Raw genomic sequence first — 24988 nt, 5'->3', positions numbered from 1 at the left:
GCAGCCGGATTCTCTGTGGTAAAGAATAACCAGTAAAAAAAAAAACGGGGGGGCGCCTGGCTAGGTAGGTTCCCTTTTATTCTTTTCATATCTTAGATAAAGGTTAGATGGATAGTTCTCAGTGACCCAACTCTAGAGATGTAGATGTTCATTCATTATTCAATCAACAAATATTTATTGAGAATATACTGTGAGCTAGATGCTATTGAAGGGAGCAAGCCAGATAAAGAACCCTGCCTTCATGGAGCTTATAATCAAGCTAAGGGAAACAGATAATATACAATAAACATAATCCATAATAGAGTTTGATATAAATGATAGTGTTGCTATAAGGTAATAAAGTACTGCGGGGAAACAAAAAAAAAATTAGAAAGTTGAATCAGGTCAGGGTATTGATGAGAGCCTAGGTCAGAGTGGTAATGACCAGGCTTTGCTGAGAAGATAAGATTTGAATAAGGATTTAGAGAAGGTAGAGAAGGTAGTCAAGTGGCTATCTGAGGGCAGAACATTCCAGTCACAGAAAACAATCATTGCAGGGGCCCAGAGCACATGCCCTCTATATTTGGGAAACAGCAAGAAGGTCAGTGTGCCTGAAGCAGTGAGCTAGGGGGTAGGTTAGTGGGATATGAGATCAAGAGGAAATAGGGGATAGATTATGAATTGTTCACCATAGTGAGGACACTGGCTTTTGCTCTGAGTGGGATGGGGAGCTATGGGAAGATGTTCAACAGGGAGCTATGGGAAGATGTTCAACAGGGAGCTACGGGAAGATGTTCAACAGGGAGGTGCTAAATAGGACTTTTCTGGCTGTTGTGTTGAAAATACAATATAGAAGGCAAAATGGAATCAGGGAGACTATCCAAAGAATATTCCAGTACAAAGGTGTGGTAGGGAGAATTCTAAATCCCAAGACCCCAAGAGTTCCAGTCCTGGCTGTGCATAATCCTGCTAGTTATTCCATCAAACACTGATCTAGAGACTGTTATGGAGGGGTTTTACAGATATAATTAAGATCCCAAATTAGTTGACCTTAAAACACAGAGATTATTAGGTGTGTCCGATCTAATTAACAAGCCCTTTAAATCTGGGTATAGAGGAAGTCAAAGATTTGAAATATACGAAGGAACTAATGTGCTGTTTCTGACTTGAAAATGGAAGGCACCACGTGTAATGAAATGTGTACAGTCGTGTAAAGAAATGTGTACAGCCTCTAGAAACTAAGAGCAGCCCCTGGCTAACAGCCAGCAGCAAGGAACGGGGGCCTCATCTCTACTGCTGCAAGGAGCTGAATTCTGCCAGCAACAAAAATGAACTTGGAAACATATTTTTCTTCAGAACCTCCAAAGAAAACCTCATCCCAGCTGACACTTTGATTTCAGCCTTATAAGACCCTGGGCAGAGAACCCAGTCATGCTAAGCCAGGCTTTTGACTTACAGAATTACAAGCTAATAAATGGGTATTTTAAGTAGCAAAGTTTATTATACAGCAACAGAAAATTACTGCATCAGCTGAAAGCTTTCTAATATTCCTTATTATGCTATATATATGTTTATTTTAATTCATAAACATAATGCCGTTTACATAAACATTACCATACTATATCTCTGTTTAATTCATAAACATAATACCCTTTACATAAATGACTACATTATCATGCATGTATACAAACACATAATTCTGTCTCATGAAATGAGCATATTTAGTATAAGGATATGTACAAAAATGGAAACTTGCCCAATTGTTAGTGAGTGCTCAAATTGGTGTGTTTATCATCAGCATCCTGCTCCTTCCTGGGCCATGAGAGATATTTTATAAAGAGAGGTAGGCACATAACAATTGCCTAATTGAGGCTTCTTCTTATGGAAAGCTATGAGGAAACTTTTCCAAAGAATTTGAGAAAGCTTCCTGGAAGAAATGGTAAATTTTAAGAGTGGTTTCAAAATTAGAAAGAACATCACCAGACTAAATGGCGATATTCTTATATTCTTATCCTATATTCTTATTATAGACTTGTTCCAAGGACACTAAAGTTAATATCAGTCATTTTATTTAAAACATGGTGGTGGTAAGAATTTGTGTCCAAATAAAAACTTCATCTATTTTCAAAAAAATTTAGTTCAGGTGCTGCTTCCTCATGTCCCTTCTTCCAGGAAGTTCCAGACTAGATCAAGGATCCTTCTTAGCAGCCATAACTTTTGCTGTGTAACAAACTACCCCAAGATGTAGTAGCTTAAAATGACAGCTATTTATTTGTTCACGATTCTTTGGTTCAACTATTTGGTCTGGGCTCATCTGGGATGGATCGTCTCTGTTCCACATGGCAGTGGCTGGACACCCTCATGTGTTTGCATGGCCTCACCTGGTGGTTGAGATAACTGGGCCATGTGTCTCTTATCACTCAATAGGTTAGCCTGGTCTTAGTCACATAGTAGTGGTCACAGCATCCCAAGAGTAGCAGGAGAGAGCTAGCTTCAATATGCAAGCAGTTTTTAAGCCTCTAGTTTTGCTGCATTTGCCATTGTCCCATTGACCAGGACAAGTCACATGGTCAAGTTTACAGTCAATGTAAGAGGAAGCTATTACCCAAGGGTGTAGACACAGGGAGGGAAATTATTATAGCCATTTTGTAAAAAAATCTGCCTTTACTGCACTGAATTATAATCTTCTATTTTATGTTTATGTCTTCTTAAGGACAGAAGTTCTGTTTCTTCTTGTCTGTAATGTGATCATGTATTATAACATAGTGCCTGACACTGTGTTGCATGCTCCACAATAGTTCATTTTTTTCCTCACTGTGTGGTGTTTATAAGAACCCAAGCCATTTGGACCCATAGTTACCCATTTTAGTGAAATGGAAAGAGAAAGAGTTCAAAATAATCCTGAATTTCCATATGCCATCCCCAAAGGCTTACGAGCCTCACCAGGACTTGAGCAAAAGCCTAGCTTGGATAGCTTCTCTCACTGTCAGCTTCCCTGCAAAGGCTGCCAACAACATTCTTAAACTAAAGTACCAATGGTGCTTCAGCTCTCTCCCCAGAGAATTCTCACGTGTCATCTCTTTGCATATTTTTTTCACACACTCACTACATCAACGACTCTTCAATTTGCTGTGGCTTGGGAAATGTCGGGAGGGAAAGTTTATGAAGTCTCCTACATATGCAGACATCTGGCTAAAGCAAGCAGGCCTGCAGATCAATTTGCTTGGCTTTCTTACTTTTTAATCTTTATCCAAGAACTTCATAAGATCCTGATTATGTACAAAAAATAATTGTTTCCAACTTCTTTCAGAAATACTGGGAAAGTCGTTTAAATTAGCTGGGGATATACCTGATTCAAGGAGCAATCATCTTTATTTTTTAGAGCTAAAACAGATATCCAAACAAATCTTTAAAAACTCCTACAGGTATCAGTCTTACTGTTTTCGTAGTTCTCTTACTGCAATCTCTAGTTAGAAGCATTCTGGTAGGGGGAATAAAGCAAGACCAAATGTGGCAAAACTATGTATGGCCTCTTTCGTTTTAAATTCCAAGCATGTCCTGGGTTTGTCAGCTGCTTGAAATGGTCCAGCTGGTCTTAGTTGACCAGATGGCTGAAAAGTAAGGAGAAATTTCCTTATATAGGAAATAGGCCATCCCAGTTAATAATGGCGAAAGACAATGCCTCTGGATCCTTGCTTCAAAGAGACAGTTCTGGACCTGTCAGAGTCGTCTGCACACCTAGGTCATTCTAGCTATCCCAGTGTTTGCTTTCACTTCTATAGTCTCTGGGCTTCAGCCACAAATGAGGACTCAAGACACACTTAGGAGTGGCTATAAATCATCTAGCTGTGATAACAAACATGGAGTAAAGGAAAATAATCGTTTAATCTTATTTTGCCATGTGCAAAGCCTGCCTGATGTCTCAGTCTTCCATCTTCCATTCAATTCATCCTCATACTTTTCTGAGGGTGGGAAAGACAACATGCAGCCTTTAGTCTGCCACTAGAGGCTTTATGCTCTAAACGGTTAAAAGAAGTATTGCCAGCACAATAGCTTCTTGGGGGTTGGCAGAGATGTATGTTTAAAAACCAATTTTATAGCTTCAAAGGGAAAGATACCGATGAAACACATATCATGCTGGTATTTGATTTTCCTGTATTTAGAGAAGGGATTGAACTTCTGAAAAACAAAAAATCAAGAACAAAAACACAAAAAGTATTGGTTGGCAGGAAGATAGGAAATTAACTTGGAATCAATAAACACAAGTTTCTTACTTGAAACGTGTTTAAAATGTGTGAAGCATGTTTGAAATGTACCCAGATTTTTTTCTAGAAAGCCTTATTTTAAAAGTGTAGCCCAAATATTATGAGTAGAAGGTCCTCATTGCCTGGAATGCCCTTTACCTCCTCCTACTTCACCTACTTAATATGCCTCGTAGATTCAGCTCAGGCTTCCTCCTTCAGGACATTTTCCTAGATCTGCTCCTGCTCTCTCTACTTCCTTTGCTCCTTCCCCCTCTCTTCTCTCCCTTCTTCACCCACCCATTCTTCCCTCCTCCACTTAATAGGTTAGGCATCTTACTTCATATATCTTTTTATCCTACATTGTTAAATAATCACCATTCCAAATGCCTATCTCTGGCCTAGCAGATTACAAGCCCCTGAGGGTAGGGGCTGTGTTTTATCTTTGACCCCTAGAAGAATGCATGGCACAGATAAAACATTCAATAAGTGTTAGTTGAATAAATAAATGGATGGATGAATCATCAATTGAATTATACTGGGAATACCCCTTGATTACAAGTATTTTCAACACTGTTCATTTATTCACTGATTTACTCTTTACTGAGCACCTACTGTGAACCAGGTGTTGTGCTGAGGGGTGGGTACACGAACATTTCCAAGAGCAATGAAGTCCTTGCCCTCATAGGGATAAAAGTCTAAAATTAAGAGTGTATATTTATATGTGTAACAGTATGGGAACAGGATATTCTTATTGCCTCAGCATTTTTACTAAAGCCTTACACTAAAGGGAGACGCTGCACATATACATGCCAGATACAGTACTTTCTAGAAGACAGAAAATGCTGTCTAGAGACTCTTATACCCAACACCCTGTATTATTACAGAAAACCAGACATTCGAAAACATTAATTGAAGTAATGGAATTTGTGGACGTTGACAGTGCTGTGGCATTCTCCCTGTTCTCCTAAAGATGGATAGAAGGTGGTTTATACCCACCCCTGTAAGAAAAGAGACTGGTATCTCTTCCATATGCCATATATTTGGTAAGCTGCTGAAATTCCAACAAGTTGCCCCTGGATCAGAGTTCTTAAGAGAATCTCTCATTTGTCTTTAGTATTTGGGTTTTATATGAAAATGTGAACACCAATATCTTTCTTACCTGAGTGAATTTTGAAGGCAGTAGGTTAGCTGGAATACCCATGATAGTAGGGTGAAAGCAGAAAGATTAGCAGTTGGTTAAGTTGCATTTCTATCATTTAGCAAGGCAATAATGCACAAGTTCTTAGTGAGCCTAATAAATGGTGTGGAAGATAGCCAAAGGTGAGTCATCTGGAAAATACATCAACCAGAAGGGCTATCTTATTAAGGAAGGGGACCTGAGGAGTAAGAAGTTGTATGGGATATACTGCTAGGAGGTGATAGCTAAGAGGAGATGGTAAGACATCACCCAGAGAATACATTATTCATCTGGAAATGGTGTAGTATGTTGGATGCCCTGGGAACTCCAAAGAACTCAAGTTCACCTCACAAGAAATCCAGCATTTGGGGGCTTGCCATTAGAGAAGGCACTAATAGTATACCACAGCTTCGGTCACATGAGACTTTCCTCCATCTTTCCCATTACTCTCAGCCCTCAACAATGGTGAAGTCAGCAACATGAGTGAGGAAAAAAGTTGGAAATACAGGGGAGGAACTGTGAAGGAACAGACAAAGTGCTCCACATCGCTGTACATTTTCAAGGCACAAGTCAGGCCTGAGCATGCGGCAAGGGAAGAAAAGAGCATTGAATTGTACATGAGACTGAAGTTTTGTTTCAGACTAGATAATTTTTTAAAAGTCTGATAATAGACTATCCTAAAATATCTGTTTGTCACTGATACTTTAGCTGTCTATTAAATTGAAAAATACACGTTTGTACATTCCAGGTCTAATAGCATAGCATATAGTACTGAGAATCTATAGAATCCTCCAGGGGCAGAGAAGACATAGCCAAGTGAGGGTATTTAATGGTAGTGAGTGGGGAAAAATTGACTCATATCTTATTCAGACCCTCTGGAACTGAACCCATTTAATCAACTATCTGTAAAAAAAACACACACGTGTATTTGTGCATATGTACATAGTTGCCCCCTTGGTATCCACAGGGGATTGGTTCCAGGATCTTTGCAAATACGAAAATCTGTGGATGCTCAAGTCCCTTATATGAAATGGAGTAATATTTGCATATAACCTATGCACATCCTCCCATATACTTTAAATCATCTCTAGATTACTTATAATACCCAATACAATGCAAATATTGTATAGTTGTTATGCTGTATTGGTTATTTTTTTTATTGTTGTTTTGCTTTCTTTGTTTTTTAAAAATATTTTTGATCCATGGTTTGTTGAATCTGCAGATGCAGAGCCTGCAGATATGGAGGACTAATTGTATCTTGTACACACATACATATGACAAACTTTGGTTAATCTCATTGACAGTACAACTATAAGTGAATAGTGAGCCATCCAAAGAACAGGACATCTTCTATTCATAAGGCCCTTTATGCATTTTCTAATATAACCTCTCATGCCATGGAGCAGTCTTTTCTACTACATTATGGACAGGGAACAGTAAGAATAAAAATAACCAGGATGAGATGAATACCGACGATGTAGAAAAACTGGGCTAAACAATTTATATAAGTACTGCTTCATCTCATCCTCATTTAATTTTTTTAAGGGGTAGATAATAATGTTCTCATTTTATAAATGATGAAACAAACTTAGAGAGGTTGAGTGAAGTAAAGGCTCTAAGATTTAGATCAAGGCCTATGTTTCAAAATATGTCTTTGTTCATATTTTTATTATTATTATACTTTAAGTTCTGGGTTACCTGTGCAGAACATGCAGTTGTGTTACATAGATATACACATGCCATGGTGGTTTGCTGCACCCATCAACCCATCATCTACACTAGGTATTTCTCCTAATGCTATCACTCCCCTAGCCCCCCCACCCTCCGACAGGCCCCAGTGTGTGATGTTCCCCTCCCCGTGTCCATGTATTCTCATTGTTCAACCCCCACTTGTGAGTGAGAACATGCAGTGTTTGGTTTTCCATTCTTGTGTTAGTTTGCTGAGAATGATGGTTTCCAGCTTCATCCATGTCCCTGCAAAGGATATGAACTCATCCTTTTTCATGGCTGCATAGTATTCCATGGTGTATATGTACCACATTTTCTTAATCCAGTCTATCATTGACGGACATTTGGGTTGGTTCCAAGTCTTTGGTATTGTGAATAGTGCCGCAATAAACATACCTGTGCATGTGTCTTTATCATAGAATGATTTATAATCCTTTGGTTATATGCCCAGTAATGAGTTCGCTGGGTCAAATGATATTTCCAGTTCTAGATCCTTGAGGAATTGTCACACTGTCTTCCACAATGGTTGAACTAATTTACTCTCCCACCAACAGTGTAAAAGCATTCCTATTTTTCCACAACCTCTCTAGCATCTGTTGTTTCCTGACTTTTTAATGATCGCCATTCTAACTGGCATGAGATGGTATCTCATTGTGGTTTTGATTTGCATTTCTCTAATGACCAGTGATGATGGGCATTTTTTCATATGTCTGTTGGTTGCATAAATCTCTTCTTTTGAGAAGTGTCTGTTCTGTCCTTTGCCCATTTTTTGATGGGGTTGTTTGTTTTCTTGTAAATTTGTTCATATATTCTTAACTTTGCAAAGTCTGCTTGAGAATTTTTGGAAAGGGAGACATACTCTAGAGAAATTCCAGTCCTTTATAGTACATGTAATATTATTATGAGATTCTTCTGTACATTAAAACTCAAATACTTTTCTGTGTAACTTTCACCCATGGATTCTGCTTCAAGTCTGATCTACTAGGTTGGTACAAAAGTAATTGCGATATTTGCCATTACTGTTAATGACAAAAGCCAGAATTACTTTTGCACCAACCTAATATCTTCAACATGGCCTCACATGGGAGAACATGGCTGATCATTAATTTATCCATTCGATGAGAATTTATTGGTCATCTAGTCTAAGCCACATACTGTTCTAGGTGTTGAAGTTAACAGAATGAACAAGACAAAGTTGTTGCCTGCATAGAACATATATCCCATCAAATATCTTCTCATAGATCTTCCCTCATTCACTCTAAACATGCTCAGTACCTTCTTTTTTCTCATTGAAAGTTTTTAAAAATTAAAAACTATATATATGTTATCTAGAACACAGTGGGCTACAAACACTCCTATGCAAATGTATTTATAATTATCATACTTACAAAAGCAAAAAAGAAAACTCTAAATATCTAAGATGGTGTAAAAGTTTGACCTCAATTTTCTGTGTGTGCATGTGCATGGGCTTGCCCATAAATGCACATGGAAAAAAGACTGAAAGAAAATACACCAAAGTCTTAACAACAGTTATTTAATGGTTGGTTAACATTAATCATGTTTTCTGTGTTTTCTGTCTTTTCTATAACAAACATCTTACTTTTAAAGTGTAATGTGCATGTGTACTCTGTACGGGGCATTGTAGGAGGCCCTGAAGTAAATGTACAATCACCACAGTGGAGCATCTGGTCAGGGATTGCAGTGTTTATAAATTAAAATGAGTATTTACATGCATGTGCATGTATAAGTAACTGTATGACCAATTCTTCATTTTCCATGACTCACTTTTTATCCCATGTGTTTCACACCATCATCCACATAAGTTACATTTCCTCATGGTCAGTTGAAAGCCAACCATGTTTAATAACAGCATAAGAAAAGTACACAGAGGAAGATAAACCTAATGGTGGCAAAAGGATAACCACCATGAGTTCAGAGCCAAGTGTAAAATGATTTTTGATTTTACTCTCTTTTGGTTTATCTGAGTTCCTCATTGCCTTTACATACAAAGATCCCTGATCAGTGAACATTTATTTAGCAATAGTTTTGACCATTGATGCAGAATCATAACAGCTTTATAAAATGAATAACAAATTTATAAAAACTCAAACTCCCATTTTGAAGATAAATGACTACTCTTTTCACAGCAATGAGCAGTTGGAGGCTAAATGTCTTATATTTTGACATTATATGCTTACAGTTTGTCACCAGTACTTTAGCTGTCTATTAAATTGTAAAATATATGTTTGTACATCCTGAGGTTTAATGCCATGGCATGCAGTGATGGCAATAGCTAATGACTAATAATAAATAAGCAAATGAACCTGTTTGGGAGGGGCACAGAGTGGATTAAAAGTGCTATTAGGTAAAATTGATTTTTGATTATACAGGTTAAAAAAGCTGTTAGTATTTCTGACATCTGTATTCCAGTAGAAAAATAATACAGGTACATTATACTATTTGTTATTCTAGAAGATAAAAAAGTATTAGAGATACCTCTATTCCTTTCTCTATGACCATATAAAACCTAATGTTTATCTTTGGAGGCATGGGACTTAATAAGTTGTGTAAATATTTCTCCAGTATTCAGCCCACCTCTATTATAACCACAGACCTCCTCCATATGTCATCTTATCTTCTGGACATGGGAGATAATGTGGAACATGATCTAACATTTCTCATTATGTCAAATTCAGCACAACCAAACATAAACTCAAGCCAGCAAAAATATGGAATTACATCTTCATTATTTTCCGGAAATGCATTTTGGAGAGACTGCTCAACCAGTATGAGACAATGTACACTGAATCCTAAATTAAACTCATATTCTGGAAAATTGAAGCCAATGGCTCAGTGTGCTCAGTGAAATGGGGAAGCACACAAAGGCACACTTCTGGGGTGCTAGAGCATTTCAAAAGTGGGACATTCATCATTACTTGCTTAAGCAATATTTACAAATGCAGATGGCCTTCTTTTTATAAAAATAGATTACACAGCCACTTATGGATTATTATTTGAGGTGCTATAAACTGTCTATATGTCCCTGATATCGATCCCACACTCCTCTGTCACCATGCCACATTTCTAGGAATTTTCACCATTTTAGATGACTCTACTGTTCCTTCTCTGGGTAACTGTGTCACTCAAAAATAGTAGCATATCAGCCATTAAAGGAAATTAAGGCATAGCAATGTTTCATATATCAGATTGCTGTACCCTAATATTGTACATTAATTTCTTACATATATTTATTGATATGGCTCTTCTGTGATTTCCAGGAGCCTAATTCAAATTTTTATTACTATAAATGACTTCACTAAACATATGAATTGCAATAGTTTCACCAATAAATACTTGAAAATATGGCATAAATTGCATCAGTCTTACTCCAATTCTTGCAAGCTTCATGTCTTATAAACAACCGAGATCAAAAGCACTCAAGGGCTTCCTAGAGTCTCTAAGCCATGTTTCTGCCTCTACTCATTTCTCTTCCCTCTCAATACTAATTTCCCTTTCCTCTAAATGATATGATTTTGAGGGTTCCCCATGTTCCCAGATCCCTGATTCTCTCAAACTCAGCTTCTTGTCCTCTTATTGCATTCATATCTATGACAGTGTCATAGGGTGGCCAACATTTCTGTCCTCACAGAACTCTCCAGCCCACAAGACCTTTGGGAAGCTTTCATGTCATCTGTTATCAAGCAAGATTTCTTACCTTTGGCAGAGATGCCCTGGAGCCTGAACTCTGGGTGGTCATCGTTAAGACTGTGGTGATGCCCAGTGCGACCCTGGCAGGGGCTGCATCCATATTTATCCAAAAGGAAACCCAGGACAAAATTACTATAAGCAGGCTTGGGATGTACATCTGGATCAAATAATATCCCATTTGGCGTTCCAGATGAAACTTGACCTCAATGCAGGTAAACTTTCCTAGAAGGAGGAAATGATCATTTAAAGTCCAGCCTGAATTTATATTTCCAATTCCATTATCCCACGTTGTTTAAAAAAAAAAAAAAAAAAGACTACTGCAGATGGATTTGGAAGATTGCACAAAATGTTCACCCTACGTAACCAATTCAACTCTTCTCCAACTGAACCAGTAATAGAAATAATTACTGTGGAATAATAGTGATAATAATAGTGTGAGAATGTGTGATCTAAAGAGTCACTGGACCAAAACCATAAAGCATATTTAATTTTTAAAATCTGTGCTTGCTGCAGCTTGATTGTTTTAGACAGAGCTTCAGAATTTACAAGACTGACAGAAAATAACCAGTGGAAATAAAATATTCAAATTTTGGGGGGTTATAATATGTTATATATAGTATATTATATATTAATAGCATATACTATATAGCATATAATATGTAACACATGACATACACTGTGTAATAGTTGAAGCCATTTCCTCCAAAGTAGTACAGTTTACATAAAACTACAAAGTATTTAAAGAACTGTGTATTTATCATTGTGTTATTAATGGCAAGAGAAAAATGTACATTTGTATAAGCCAGTGTATAGTCTAGTCATTGTAAAAATTTCCTAGCCTTCTGGGTAATTGCTTCAGGACATTTAGCATATGCCTAGGAACTACGTACAGTGTTTCTTTACCTGTAAAAAGGAGTTCATATAAAGGTATTAAAACTTCTAACATTTAAGAGACAGATATTCCTACCCCTTCCCACTTTTTTTCTCCTTAATTGACTTGGAGTTAGAACTCCAGAAGGTAATTTTGCTTAGTCCATACAGATTACAAGATATAGGGTTGAATTCTTCTTGGTCAGAAAAAAAACATCCTTGGAATCAGGTTTTGGTTACTTCATAAGTATCACTGTTGGCTGTTGGAACAAGTGTGCATAAACTGTTTTCCTCAGCAAGGGACCTAGACCAGTTACTGGACAAACCATCATGTCTTGATTGTCTCTCCATGATCAGCTTGCATAGTATTGAATGAACACCATGGTTTTTCTTAAGAAAAACCATCAACTTTTCTGGACAGGTAAAATCTTCCAGAAAACAACGGATGCCTATTTGTTGCTACCACCTCAAGTTCTTCCTTCACCACCTGCCCCCCAACCCCATGTGTCTGTCAGCACTACTGATAACACATGACTTTAGAGCCAGCTGAATTCCTGCCAGCTGACTTTCATCCAAACTTCTATTGCTATCCAGGACTGAAGAACACAACAGCTCTATTTCTGGGTTTACAAAGACCTGTGTTATTGTCCCTCTTTTCCACTAAGGCACTAAGGCAGTAAGACAGTGGGTGCAAATTGACCTAAGCATCCAATGGCAAGAGCGGATGCCAGAAAGGAGCCAGAATTTATGTTTTCTGCACCACTAATGAGGTTTTCTACATCTTTCCTCAGACTCATTCGACAACAGATGGTCAGCTAGGAACAGCAAAAGATCCTAAATCCTCTCTCCTTCTCTCTATGTTCTGGAGAAATTACCTCTTGTGTTTGCTGACCTATTCCAGAGAGTATAGGAATCTTATCTGTTGAGGGAGTTTTGAGCCAAATCAGGTCCGTGCGACATAGGTCTATTTGCCTGGTAAATATGCAGCAATTAGAGTAATGAGATGTATACTCCAAACTGCAAATGGCGCTCACTTGTGTTTAACAGCTGAAAAAAAAAAAAAAAGAAACTTACCAGTGTTGTAGTGCTTTGTACAGTAGCCAAGTTCCTTCTCTTCTTTCAAAATAAACTGGGGCAGGGTCAATCCTTCAGCAACTTGCACTGGACCATCACTTAACCACTCAAATATCAGGTCATTCATCGTGTACCCAACTGAGGTAAAGAAATCATAGTGAAAATTGAATATGGCTTTCCAAGAAAGCTTGAAAGTCTACCCATGTAAAGAAACAAACAAAGAAACTGTCTAAAGCAGACATACGCTCAGTCAATTCAAGAGCATTCTTAATAAAAGAGCTGCAATCATCACTACAACTCTGTGTCATTGGAGCCAAAGAAATTTAAGACAGAAAGCTACTTATGGATGGATTTTTTTTCTGTGTAATGAAAGAATGGAATCTAAAAAGTCTATTGATTTCTGCCTTTTTATTCACTAACTCTTTCTGAAGAACAAACAAGTGAACAAACATAAAAATCCTTTGAAGATTGTCTTTACTTGCAAGAGCTGAGGCTTTAGCAATCCAATAAGACAATCCAATCCACAGTGCCAGTCAGTACTTTAAATGAAAACCATTCTTTTTTTAAATGAGAATGAATTAATCACGGGCCTGCCTAAAACATTCCCATTACAGACTTGGCCCTCCTCCTAGGGTCTATTAGCTTTGCATTCAGAAAGCTTATGTTAAAGTCCTTCTACTTTAGCAAATGGGGAAGACTATTGGCAGGTAATCTAAGAGGAAATTATGGAATATGCAAATTAAGAATATTCATTTGTGCTAGTGTCTTGCTAAATGGGCCCACTCATCACAATTATTAATACAAAGTAAAACAGATTACCTATTATGAAAGATCATATTTTTATATGACTTGAACCATCCAAAGTAAAATTGTTATCAGTTTGGTAATCCAAAGTTAGCTCTTAGTCTCCAAGCTAGGTCATCATCTGTCAATTTTTTCTGGATCTTTCTCTACCCTAGAAATGAAGCCTACTCTTCTTTCATGCACCATTTCTCTACCTTTTCCCTTTGTTTGTAATATTTGAACTTTTCAGATAAGAGTGATGAGGACAGAGGATATTATGTGAGGTCTTGGCTGGCCAAAATCCTCAGCATGTTTTTTTTTTTTTTTTTTAAGTTTATGGATTCTTATTCTTATTTACTGCAAGATAGTGACTCGCCAGAGCTACCCAGAAATCAATGGCAAGTTTAATTGTAATCTACTTTCCTGTTTCTTTGGACTACCTTTTCAACATAAAGCCAAAAAAAAAAAAATAATAAGAACATGGAAAGCAAGGAGATACAAAGAGGCCCTATACAAGCATTGGTGGTCCACAAGGAGAATGGCAAACCCTATCTGTGTGAGTACACCTTGGAAACCTCCAGCAAATACTACTCTAAGCTCACAAAATACCCCACGTTCTTGTCTGGTGAGCTTCTCGTTGGCCACCACAATAAAAGTTCTTGTCAGTCACCCTGAAGCCCCAGCATGGGGAAGACAGCAGAGGTAAAGAGGTGGGGATGAAGAAAGTAATATTGGGATAGAAAAGGAAAAAAATAATAATTCCCACCCTTCACATCCAAAGTTAGTGGTAAACATGATGTTTCTTTGATTTCATTATTCATGCCAGGACTGAGCTTATTTACTAATTCAAATTTTCTAAGCCTTGGATGAACATCAGTTGACAGCTACGGCTACTGTTTTACAGAAAAAATAAAAGTGTTGGGTTGAGTCAGGGGAGATTTTGGAGCAGTAGAGAAAACAGAAAGAAGGAATCATGTAAGAAAATGTTTTTCTCAGCTTTTTTCTCAAGAGAAGGAGCAATAAGGAAAAAAATGAATACATAAGGCCTATTTTAAATCAGAAATTTTCATTTTATCTATGACAACTTCTTAAGATAAAGAGGTTTCATCATTTTGTTTATTTCTCTGGGATGTTTCAAGGGAAATCCATAGTGATTTTAGATGATCAGAATGAAATCAACCCTGTCACTACCTCTTTTTAAATAATAGATAAGTCTTTTTACATATATTCTTTTTCTAAACCAAGAAGTTAAAAGTATTTCCTTGCCCATGCCTCATTAAATCTCCTAACGTCCATGTAGGTCAGTGGCACTTATTATTCTCTGCATTTTACAAACAGAGAAACTGATAGACCAAGCCAGAAAGAAATTCATATCTCTTAACTGAAAATCCTGTTACTTTGGAGGCATCAGCAACTTATGGTGACACATATCAAAGACTTTAGTGGCATCAGGGTTAGGTCATAAAGGGGACAAAGTAGATGGCCTTTTTCTACTTGCTTCACCATGCTTTTGTGTATCCACTGCTTATCTAAGAGAAATGCCTCTTATTCTGTCTTATTCCATCTCATCTCATGCCCCTCATTCTTACATCCTCCTCTGGCCAAGGTCCTTATGTCTTGTTCTCAAAGCAATTATCCCTTCCTGCCAGAATTCCTTTTGGGGTGATGGTCTACATGGGCATAAGATGGAAAGAAATTCAATTTTCTGATTAAAGAGTGATTCACTATAAAGATTTAATGACTAATAATTTTAATTTTCTCAGGAGACATTTTCATTTCAATGAAAAGCTTACCAAATCAGGCTATTTTTTGGGCGGGGGGAGAAAGGCAAGTTATTTGGCATTTTACTTTGAAAGGTTGCCTATGCTGTATTGATAATGAGATTTTGTATGACACACACACACACACACACACACACACACACACACACACACACACACACTTTGGTTTGTCTTTCCATTAGGATGTTGGGGGTTGGTCAGTATATAGGGAATGAGTTGTAAGGGTCCTTTCTCTTTAATGACATACTAAAAGAACCAGGTCATTGGTTAAAACAAGCAGGGAGTCATTTCAACAGTGGTGACTTACAACTCTCCAGCTGCATTGTACAGGTCTGGACATCCATCGGAAAGTTCTTCAAGTCCATGGGACAGGATAAGGTCAAGGTGAGTCTTAGCAAACAAAAAAAAAATTAAAAACCATTTTTAAATCTATGAAGTCCAGTTGTTGAGAAACAAACAAAATACACTTGGCATTAAGCAAAGTGACATTGATTCAAATAATGAAATCTAAGCTCCAACTCAGGGCAGTGCTTTTTGTTTTTAAAATGAAGAACAGTCACTGATAAATTTTTTAAATATTGTAGTATTTCACCATAACCTCTTACTCTCTATTTTTCATCTTCCAGCCTCTGATTCTCCCTCCTTCCCCCAAAATGGTGCTGTTCTCAGCTTTGTACTAGAATAAACAAGACCACTGAGATATAACATAACAAAAACAATAGGCTCTTACCCACGCCAATGTCCAAAAGATATAAAGTTTATACTATTTTAGAATTACACCTTGGACTTTGCTTCAAGGACAGAAATGATGTAATAAGTATAACTGATCATGGTAAGTGCTAGTTCTTCTTACATCAAATGGGCAAATGCTTAACTCCACAGTCTTCTCATTTACTGCATGTATGGGTTAACAATATATTGTAGCATTTATTCTAGAATTTTGATAATTCTGGAGCATGTAGTTCTTGAGCTAGAAAAACCCATTTAAAGATCATGGTTTATTTCATTAAGTCCCACATATTATCTTTGTTTTTATTGCATTTGTTTTTGGGTTCTTGGTCATGAAATCCTTGCCTAAGCCAGTGTCTAGAAGGGTTTTTTCCAATGTTATCTTCTAGAATTTTTATAGTTTTAGGTCTTAGATTTAAGTCCTTGATCCATCTTGAATTGATTTTTGTATAAGGCGAGAGATGAGGATCCAGTTTCATTCTCCTACATGTGGCTTGCCAATTATCCCAGCACCATTTGTTGAATAGGGTGTCCTTCCCCTACTTTATGTTTTTGTTTATTTTGCATGGCAAAAGGAACAGTCAGCAGAGTAAACAGACAACCCACAGAGTGGGAGAAAATCTTCACAATCTACACATCTGACAAAGGACTAATGTCCAGAATCTACAATAAACTCAAACAAATTAGCAAGAAAAAACCAAACAATCCCATCAAAAAGTGGGCTATGGACATGAATAGACAATTCTCAAAAGAAGATATACAAATGGCCAAAAAAGATGTGAAAAAATGCTCAACATCACTAATGATCAGGGTAATGCAAATCAAAACCACAATGCGATACCACCTTACTCCTGCAATAATGACCGTAATCAAAAAAGTCAAAAAAAAAAAAAATAGATGTTGGCATGGATGTGGTGAAAAGGGAACCTTTCTACAGGGAATGTAAACTAGTACAACCACTATGGAAAACAATGTGGAGATCCCTTAAAGAAAGAAAAGTAGAACTATTATTTGTTCCAGCGATCCCACTACTGGGTATCTACCCAGAGAAAAAGAAGTTATTATATGAAAAAGATACTTGCACACACGTTTATAGCAGTACAATTCACAGTTGCAAAAATGTGGAACCAACCCAAATGCCCATTAATCAACAAGTGGATAACGAAACTGTGGTACATATATGTGATAGAATACTACTCAGCCATAAAAAGGAATGAATTAATGGCATTCACAGCAACCTGGATGGGACTGGAGACCATTATTCTAAGTGAGGTAACTCAGGAATGGAAAACCAAATATCACATGTTCTCACTCATAAGTGGGAGCTAAGCTATGAGGATGCAAAGGCATAAGAATGACACAGTGGACTTCGGGGACTCAAGGGGAAAGGGTGGGAAGGAGGTGAGGGATAAAAGATTACAAATTGGGTTCAGTGTATACTGCTCAGGTGCTGGGTGCACCAAAATCTCACAAATCACCACTAAAGAACTTAAGTCATGTAACCAAATGGGACCTTTTTCCCAAAAACCTATGGAAATAAAAAAATTGAAAAAAAAAGGAAAAACAAACTACTCATTATCTTACAAAACAAACAAACAAACAAACAAACAAACAAACAAACAACGGTTTGTACATAGTCTTCAGCTCTCTGCACCCAGAAGGGGTTACTCTGCTCCACTTTCCTCTTTCCTTAACTTTTTTGAACTCCAGTCAGCTCTGGCTGATCCTTATATCAGGATATTCGTTGAGCTACCATCTCATTTCCACCATTTCCCTTTTTAATCCTTAAGGGAATGATGCACACCTCTTGCTCTCCCATTTTTCTGTATCTCCAAGATTCAAGGAAGGAAATTAGGATTGAGAATTAGTAAGTCTTGGTTCCCTTCCTAGTACTGCCTCAAACTATCTCTTCCCCCAAACAAGACCTTAAACTTGCTAAACATTTGTTTTGTCATCAACCAAATGATGAGGTAGGTAAGATGATGCTTATTCTCATTTGATCCTAATACTACAATCCGTATTTTTCTAAAGTTGACTGCTTCAAATTCTGTTCATCGTATCTCAAACACCTTTTATATCCAAAGACCCCTCGAATTCTCACACTGTTGCCTAAACTCTCCCTTGCTGTCATGCTCATTCTTGCTCTGCCTTCCTGCTTCCTTTATTTTTCCTTTCTCTGCTTCATTTTTACAATCTATTCAAGTAAAAGCAAACAAAACAAAATTTAGCACATGTATTTTAAAGAAAGGAAAGGGTTGCGATTTGAAGTCAGATTAGACAAAGAATCCACGCTGACAATCATCAAAATTATTAAAATATAATGACTGGAAAAAGAAAGATATAAAACAGTGCAATGTAAAAACATGTTTTAAATCTTGGAAATAAGCACACCATTATATTTTTGGTTAGTGGGATGATTCATATTTTGTTTTTATTCTTTATCTTGCATTATCTGAATTGAGCAGTATAAATTATTTGAAAATGTCCATAAAAACTATTCATATAACAGCTTTCCCATCTTTGTGTAATTAGCTGTGCCTTTCTTCAAACAATAACTGAAAGGTAAAATTACAAAATTCCATTTCGTTCAGTAATTTTTTGCTATTACAATCATATCATGATTATTAAAAATTTGCCACAAACCTACAGCATTTCACATTCATTGCTAAATAAATTAGCTACCTTCCGTGGGCTATTCTGAGAACCCAAACATGTCTCTAAAGGAAAAAATGTGGCTTATAGTTCTAAACAACTGACTTAAAAATAACATTTTAGGCAGGAAAAATTGTTGTCAATTATGGAGTTCATTTACAGATATAGCTATAGATATACAGATATTTAGTTTTTGGTTCCCAGCATAAAGACTTTGTTTTTTTGAAAACACAATTTTGTGTAGATTAATGCCATGAACTCTTTGAAATAAGGACAGAATATAAGAACCAAAAAAAAGTAAACAAACAAACAAAAAAAAAAACAACAACAAAGCTGACACCTTATTAAAGGTGAAAAAAATTCAAAAGGATCCATGAGCTTAAAATTATTATTACCATAATGAGAATCTATTTTTTTTCTATTTTTCAAAGAAGAAATAAATATTTTCATCATACAAAAATATGTTCATTCATAACTTGTCTATTATGAATAGTGCTGCAAAAGGAAACAAAGCCTCAATTAGACAGAAGGAATAAATTTTTCTTTCATGGAGATATATTGCATAGCTTGGTGAAAATAGTAAATAATAATGCATTGTATATTTCAGAATTGCTAAGAGAGTAAATTTCAAGTGTTCTTACCATAAAAAAATAATAAGTATTTGAGGGAATGGATATGCTAATTTGCTTGATTTAATAACTCCACATTCTATTCTTAAATCATAACATCACTTTGTGCCCCATAAACATAAACAACTATAATTTGTCCATTTACAATTCAAAAAATTAAAATTTAAATTAAAAAAATGTTCATTATATGAAAATAATTAGATGGCATATGGATAATTGGTTTCAGTGAATCAAAACCAAAAAATCTGGAAATTTCATTATAGTTTTGAAAAGTTTAAAGAAATTAAAAATAATAATAATGAAGATGAACACAGCTTAAAAGAACATGTTCTTTTAAGAATGTCACAGAATTCAACTATATATTGGTTTGTTACTGGAAACAACCCAACTTTAATATTCCTAATCATAGGCTTGCTGAATTTGACTGTTTTGCAAAATGACCTTTTCACATTTCTTCAGGAAGCAGAGATCTCACACACAATTATTGCTGCCTTTGTGGCAGATCTAACTATCCTAGAGGGGCTCAGCATTTTGGGAGCCAAAACTATTAACAGCATGGGAGACCCCACTGAGAGAAATACCTAACAAGCATGACCCTATCCCTGAATCTTGTCTCAGCTGAGAACTCAGTGGGTTTTTTTTTCTTCTTTGTTTTTCTAATTTCCTTTCTAGATAGGTTTTGTACTGGAACCCAGTGGGTGCCAATAATAAGGAGGAGAGTTAACAGTTCCGCAGTTTGTTAAATCATGAGCAAATAGAAAGATATTGTAAAGATCTAATAAGTCCCTGCCTGAGCCTCAGAGCTCATCATTTATGACATCCAGTCTACCGTGCATCTAAAGGCCTAAGATCTAGGTTTTTCCCGCTACTTATTTTTTCCTTTTTCATTTTTTCTACTGAAGTGTACATTAAATACAGTAAAAAAACACAAATCTTAAGATACAGTGCAATTACTTTTTACATCTGTATTCACCTATTTAACAAGCTTTCAGATCCAGATTTAGAGCATTCCCATCACCCTAGAATATTTCATTATGCTCCCAGACAAGAATCTACAAAAGTGCCACCCCATTTGCTATTTAAAAAGGCTATTTTATGATTTTTTAAATATGAGTTTGGGGGAAAAAAAGAACTTGATATTATTTTGTACAGACATGCAGAAATTGCACCAAATAAGGCTGATATGTCTATACACCAATATACTAAAATGTGAACAATTTTTATCTCCTTTGCTCTGGCTTTTCACCCACTTTGGGTGGGTCTCACAGAATTAACTATTTTAGTCGGGAAGCCAGTAGTCTTCCGAACTTGCCTGGACACTCAGACTTCTCACTGGCAGACATTGACCAGCATGTCAGATTTGTCCTCTTCCCCGATAATCTGAAATATTAAGGCCATTGCACATGAAGGCATTGAGCTGAGGCTGCCCCTCTTCCTTTTGATTTTTGTTAAATAACTCATTTCCTGAAGCATTATTGTCCGTTCCTCCACTGTGCATTCAGGGCACCCCTGCTCCTGTTTGCACAAGGGAAGAAGTAAAGTTCCTTCACAGAGGCCCTGCTTCTTTACTGAAAGTAAGAAGGCTGAGCAAGCATTCCTATTTTAAAGGCAAAGAATAGAACAAAGCAAAGAAAGTCCGTCTCCCAAAATCTCACCTTTCCTGCCCTTTCCCTTTCTTACTACTTTCCTATTGAGTTCACCTTGCTCATAAAACCATCTCTTGGGTTTATACCTCACTTAAAATTTAAATGACTGATAGATGCAGACACTGTAAACTATTTCAGTTACCTTTACAGTTGTTAAATCAAATATTGTAATTTTTATATTTTTTATTTATTTTTCTTCCCTACTACAATGCAAGATTTATGAAGGCTGAACCCCTGTCTCTGCTTAGACCAGAGTAGGTATCCAAGAAATATTTATTGAACAAATTAATGAATCAGTATCCTAAAATTTGTGTGAGAATTTCAGGCTTTTATTCTGTGGAAATGGGAAAGGTTAAAGGATTTAGAAGGGACGAGGCCAGTCATCAGAGTCCACAGGATGCTGCTAAATTACAGGACTGTCAAAGCTTGCCTGGTGCCTCCGCTAAGTTGCTGGCAGATTCTCACTAGAAATAAAACAAATCAAGTTAAAGGAATGCCAGGAAGCCTGGCTGACTTGTCCTGGAACCTTGGTCAACTAGTTAGGGCCATGGCTGGGGCTATTTTCACATTGCTAGAAGAATGTAAATTAATCATTTAACATTACAATGTTATGGCAGACAGAAGGCTGCTTGACTCATAAAGCAACTACTGGTTCATAAGGAACTTAGAATTAGAACTCGGAGTTCATTCCCAATGAAACTCTTGAGGGAAAAATACCATTTGAAGAGAAGATGAATTTTCAGGTACAAATACAAATTTTAATGAGTGATCTGCTTCCCTAAAGCAAGGATTGACAACATGCTATTTTTGGAGAGTTAATTCTAATGATTACAATAGTTTCTCTTGTTCAGAGAGGAAGGACAAGAGGATGTTTCTGTGTCTTTCAGGACGAACAAGAGAGTCTTGGGGGTATTGCTGTTCCTCTGTTGGGACCACATTTATCTCTCTTTATGCAGCACACCACAAACTTTCAGTGGCACATGGACACATCTGGGGGCTGGAACCTATGGTGCTCCTTTAGGATGAAAATACTTAGGCAAACTAAAAATTAAAGTGATGGTGATAATAGTATTAATAATCATAATTCTCAGAACACCTGCTGTGGGTCAAGCATTCTTATTATTTTATAATCACTGAGTATTATCACACAAGGCAGACAGTGTTACCTCCATTTGTGAGATAAGCAAATTGAAACTCACAGAGTTTAAGCTTTGTTCCCAAAGTCATAAAACCACTAAGCAACCGAAGTTAGATTTGAATACAGCTTTAACCGACATCAAATTCCCTTTATTATTTCCCACTCTATCACATTTCACATTTCCTCCTTAGGAAAATAATCTGTTACCAATTTATTATCCTCTTTTGTCTATGAAGCCAGCAGAGTTGGTCATAGACACCTTAGTTGCCTTGTACCTGCTCAGGGATACCCCTTTCATTTTTCCTCAGACACCCAGAATCCTCATGGCTTGTTGTTTTAAAAACTCCTCCAGCCTCTCCCGGCAACCCAGAAACCTGGGTGATAGACCTGGCTTACCCATAAAGAGCTATTTGATCTTGACTAAATCTCTGGGCCTCCCCCAGCAAACATCCCCATCCTGCTCAACATCTCTGTGATTATAAACTATAAGTGAAGGCAACCAGCTTGAAGGATTTCCTCTTATAGGTAAATTTACCCTCTTGAATATGATGAAAACTTTAAGTGCAAGTAACACTTCTTAAAATAGGAACTTCTTGGCAATCTGGGCAGATAGGTGAGACATTTATTGCTTCCATAGGGCTTTGTCATCCAACATCCTAGAACACTATTCACTCTTTCACTGAGAACATAAGGAAGGCCTTCCTGTACCATGTTGATCCGTTGAATCTTTCCTCCCAGTTGTACCTTGAAATTTCTGAACCATGTGACATTCTAGTGTCAGGGAGATTTGACAGGATGCATCAAGTATCAAACAAGAGTGTCATCTTAACCCACCTAGACCTTAAGTGAAATTAGCCTGGGGGCAAGTTAGAAGTCAAGTTAAAAGTGCATCATTAATACAGCCCACACATGGAGAGAGGGAGGGAAGATTAGGAAATCACTGGGATAAAAAACACCGCTAGGCTGGTTGTCTGATCAACCATCTTTTAGTATAGTGGGTTTCAGTCTCTGGTGGGCATAAGCATTGTCTTATGGGCTTGGTTAGAATGCAGATTATCAGGCCCTCTTGATAAAGCAGCCCAGGTTACACCAATGCTGGTTTCCTGGAGCACACTTTAAGGAGTACTACTTCAGCATATCCCGAGGGATGACTTTGATTTCTGTCAATGTGATAGACAAAAAGGAGAAGGTTTTAAGAAAGAGGTCTATAATTTTTCAGTAACAGTAGCACTCCTTTGGGAAATATTATTATTATTTTCTTTTTGAGACAGAGTCTCGCTCTGTCACCCAGGCTGGAGTGCAGTGGCATGATCTCGGCTCACAGCAACCTCCACCTCCCGAGTTCAAGCGATTCTCCTCCCTCAGCCTCTCGACATTAGGGTAGGACAGTTAGCCTCAAGTAGGCTGCTAAGTGATTGGACTAGGGGTAATGATACAAGTTGGGGGTGTTAATCATGGGCTTCAGTCACATTGGAGAGGTATACTGGTTAAGTCAGGGCAGTGAAGCCAAAATCAGTCCACTGGCAACCAAGAATATGGTAGATGTGGCTAGGAAACTGGGAGAGCTGCTAAGAGGGTTAGGAGGACAGTTTCTAGGTAAGATAGAGAAGAAGCCAAGACCATCATGCCTTTTAACACATGCCAGTGTGCAAAGGCCAAAAGTAGGCAGTGAACTCTACTCAGGGCGATGGCAGCATATCAGATTACTGTCTCTGATGTCTGGAAAATAGGCCACCAAGAAATTTCAAAAGAAGTTAGGGAGGTGGCTGCAACCTGCATTGAATGAACCACAACAAAAATTTTAGGAAATCTCATGGTACTGGTCATAAAGAACAGAGTACATGGGAAGACTAGCTCTAGGTCCTATTGTGGAGGGATTGGTGTTAAGCAGGACTGCATCTGGGCTGTAACTTAGTATTATACATCCATTCAGCAATATTTTGGCAAATATTTATTGGGCACCAGGCACCAGACACTTAAAATAAGACAGTGTGTCTCTTGAAGGAGATCACAACTTAATATCAGAATTGCAGATATGTATCCTAATAGTTTCAATTTATTATTGAACTTTTCGAAGTTGTTTCCAACTCTCCCACTTAGACAATACTTTTGATGATGTGAATCAGACACACGTGAACAGAATCAAGTAAAGGACCTTTAATTACTCCCTTGGGGCCCAGATAAGCACTCACAGTGATCGGGTAGAGCAGGTTATCTATTCTTACATACCTGGATCCTTAGAGGGCCCTTTTGGTCTATCAGAGAAGCATGACTTGATGCTCCTGAATTGAACCTGAGGTACCCACATGAGGATCTTTATTCACAGAAAACAAAAGGAATTGGTCCAAGTCTGGTTAGGCAGGCAAGGAATGAAATTTTTTAACTTACCATTTCTGAAAGCTCTGTGATTAAATGGCTACTTTGAACTTACATCATGTAATGCATAGAGAGAGTCCTGCCTACTCCAGCCCTGAGCTTGGCACCTGGGAAGACTTTCCACCTAATCAAAGTTTGAAAAATTAATGGTGTATAAATTGTTGGGAGTTCCACAAAGGTCCCAATATATCCTTGCTCAAACACCTTCCAACTCTTAGCTGCTATATATAATAAATAAATACACATTTAGCTAAAGGCTTCTTTGACTATTAAGATGCAAAGCTAGGAAGAGAAATGTGTTTCAAGTACTGTTACTCATTTCCTTCTTTGTGTAAATAAATTGATAGATTCCCAGATTCCCTATTGATATCTCCAAGGGCAGACTGTCATACTAAGAAAATCAAAGGGAAAGATGAAACTAGATGAAAAACAGGGCTCAGAACAGTGTGGCTGGGCACCAGAGACACATCATTT

General features: G+C 37.3%; 1 protein-coding gene across 8 annotated transcripts in view; it reads right to left on the bottom strand.

Moving 5' to 3' along the window:
- The window catches only part of GLRA2 (glycine receptor alpha 2), a 283034-nt gene that overhangs the window by 111764 nt on the left and 146282 nt on the right, over window positions 1-24988 (bottom strand). For all 8 annotated transcript variants that reach the window (XM_047441999.1, NM_001171942.2, NM_001118885.2 and 5 more), the window contains 3 exons: window positions 15652-15734; window positions 12781-12918; window positions 10844-11058 (listed from right to left, as the gene is read on the bottom strand). In XM_047441999.1, coding sequence (XP_047297955.1) covers window positions 10844-11058; window positions 12781-12918; window positions 15652-15734 — 436 coding nt within the window. The remainder of the gene's footprint in view (window positions 1-10843; window positions 11059-12780; window positions 12919-15651; window positions 15735-24988) is intronic.

Source organism: Homo sapiens, chromosome X (assembly GCF_000001405.40).
Source record: "Homo sapiens chromosome X, GRCh38.p14 Primary Assembly".
NCBI lineage: Eukaryota > Metazoa > Chordata > Mammalia > Primates > Hominidae > Homo > Homo sapiens.
This window is presented reverse-complemented; position numbering and strand designations above follow the sequence as displayed.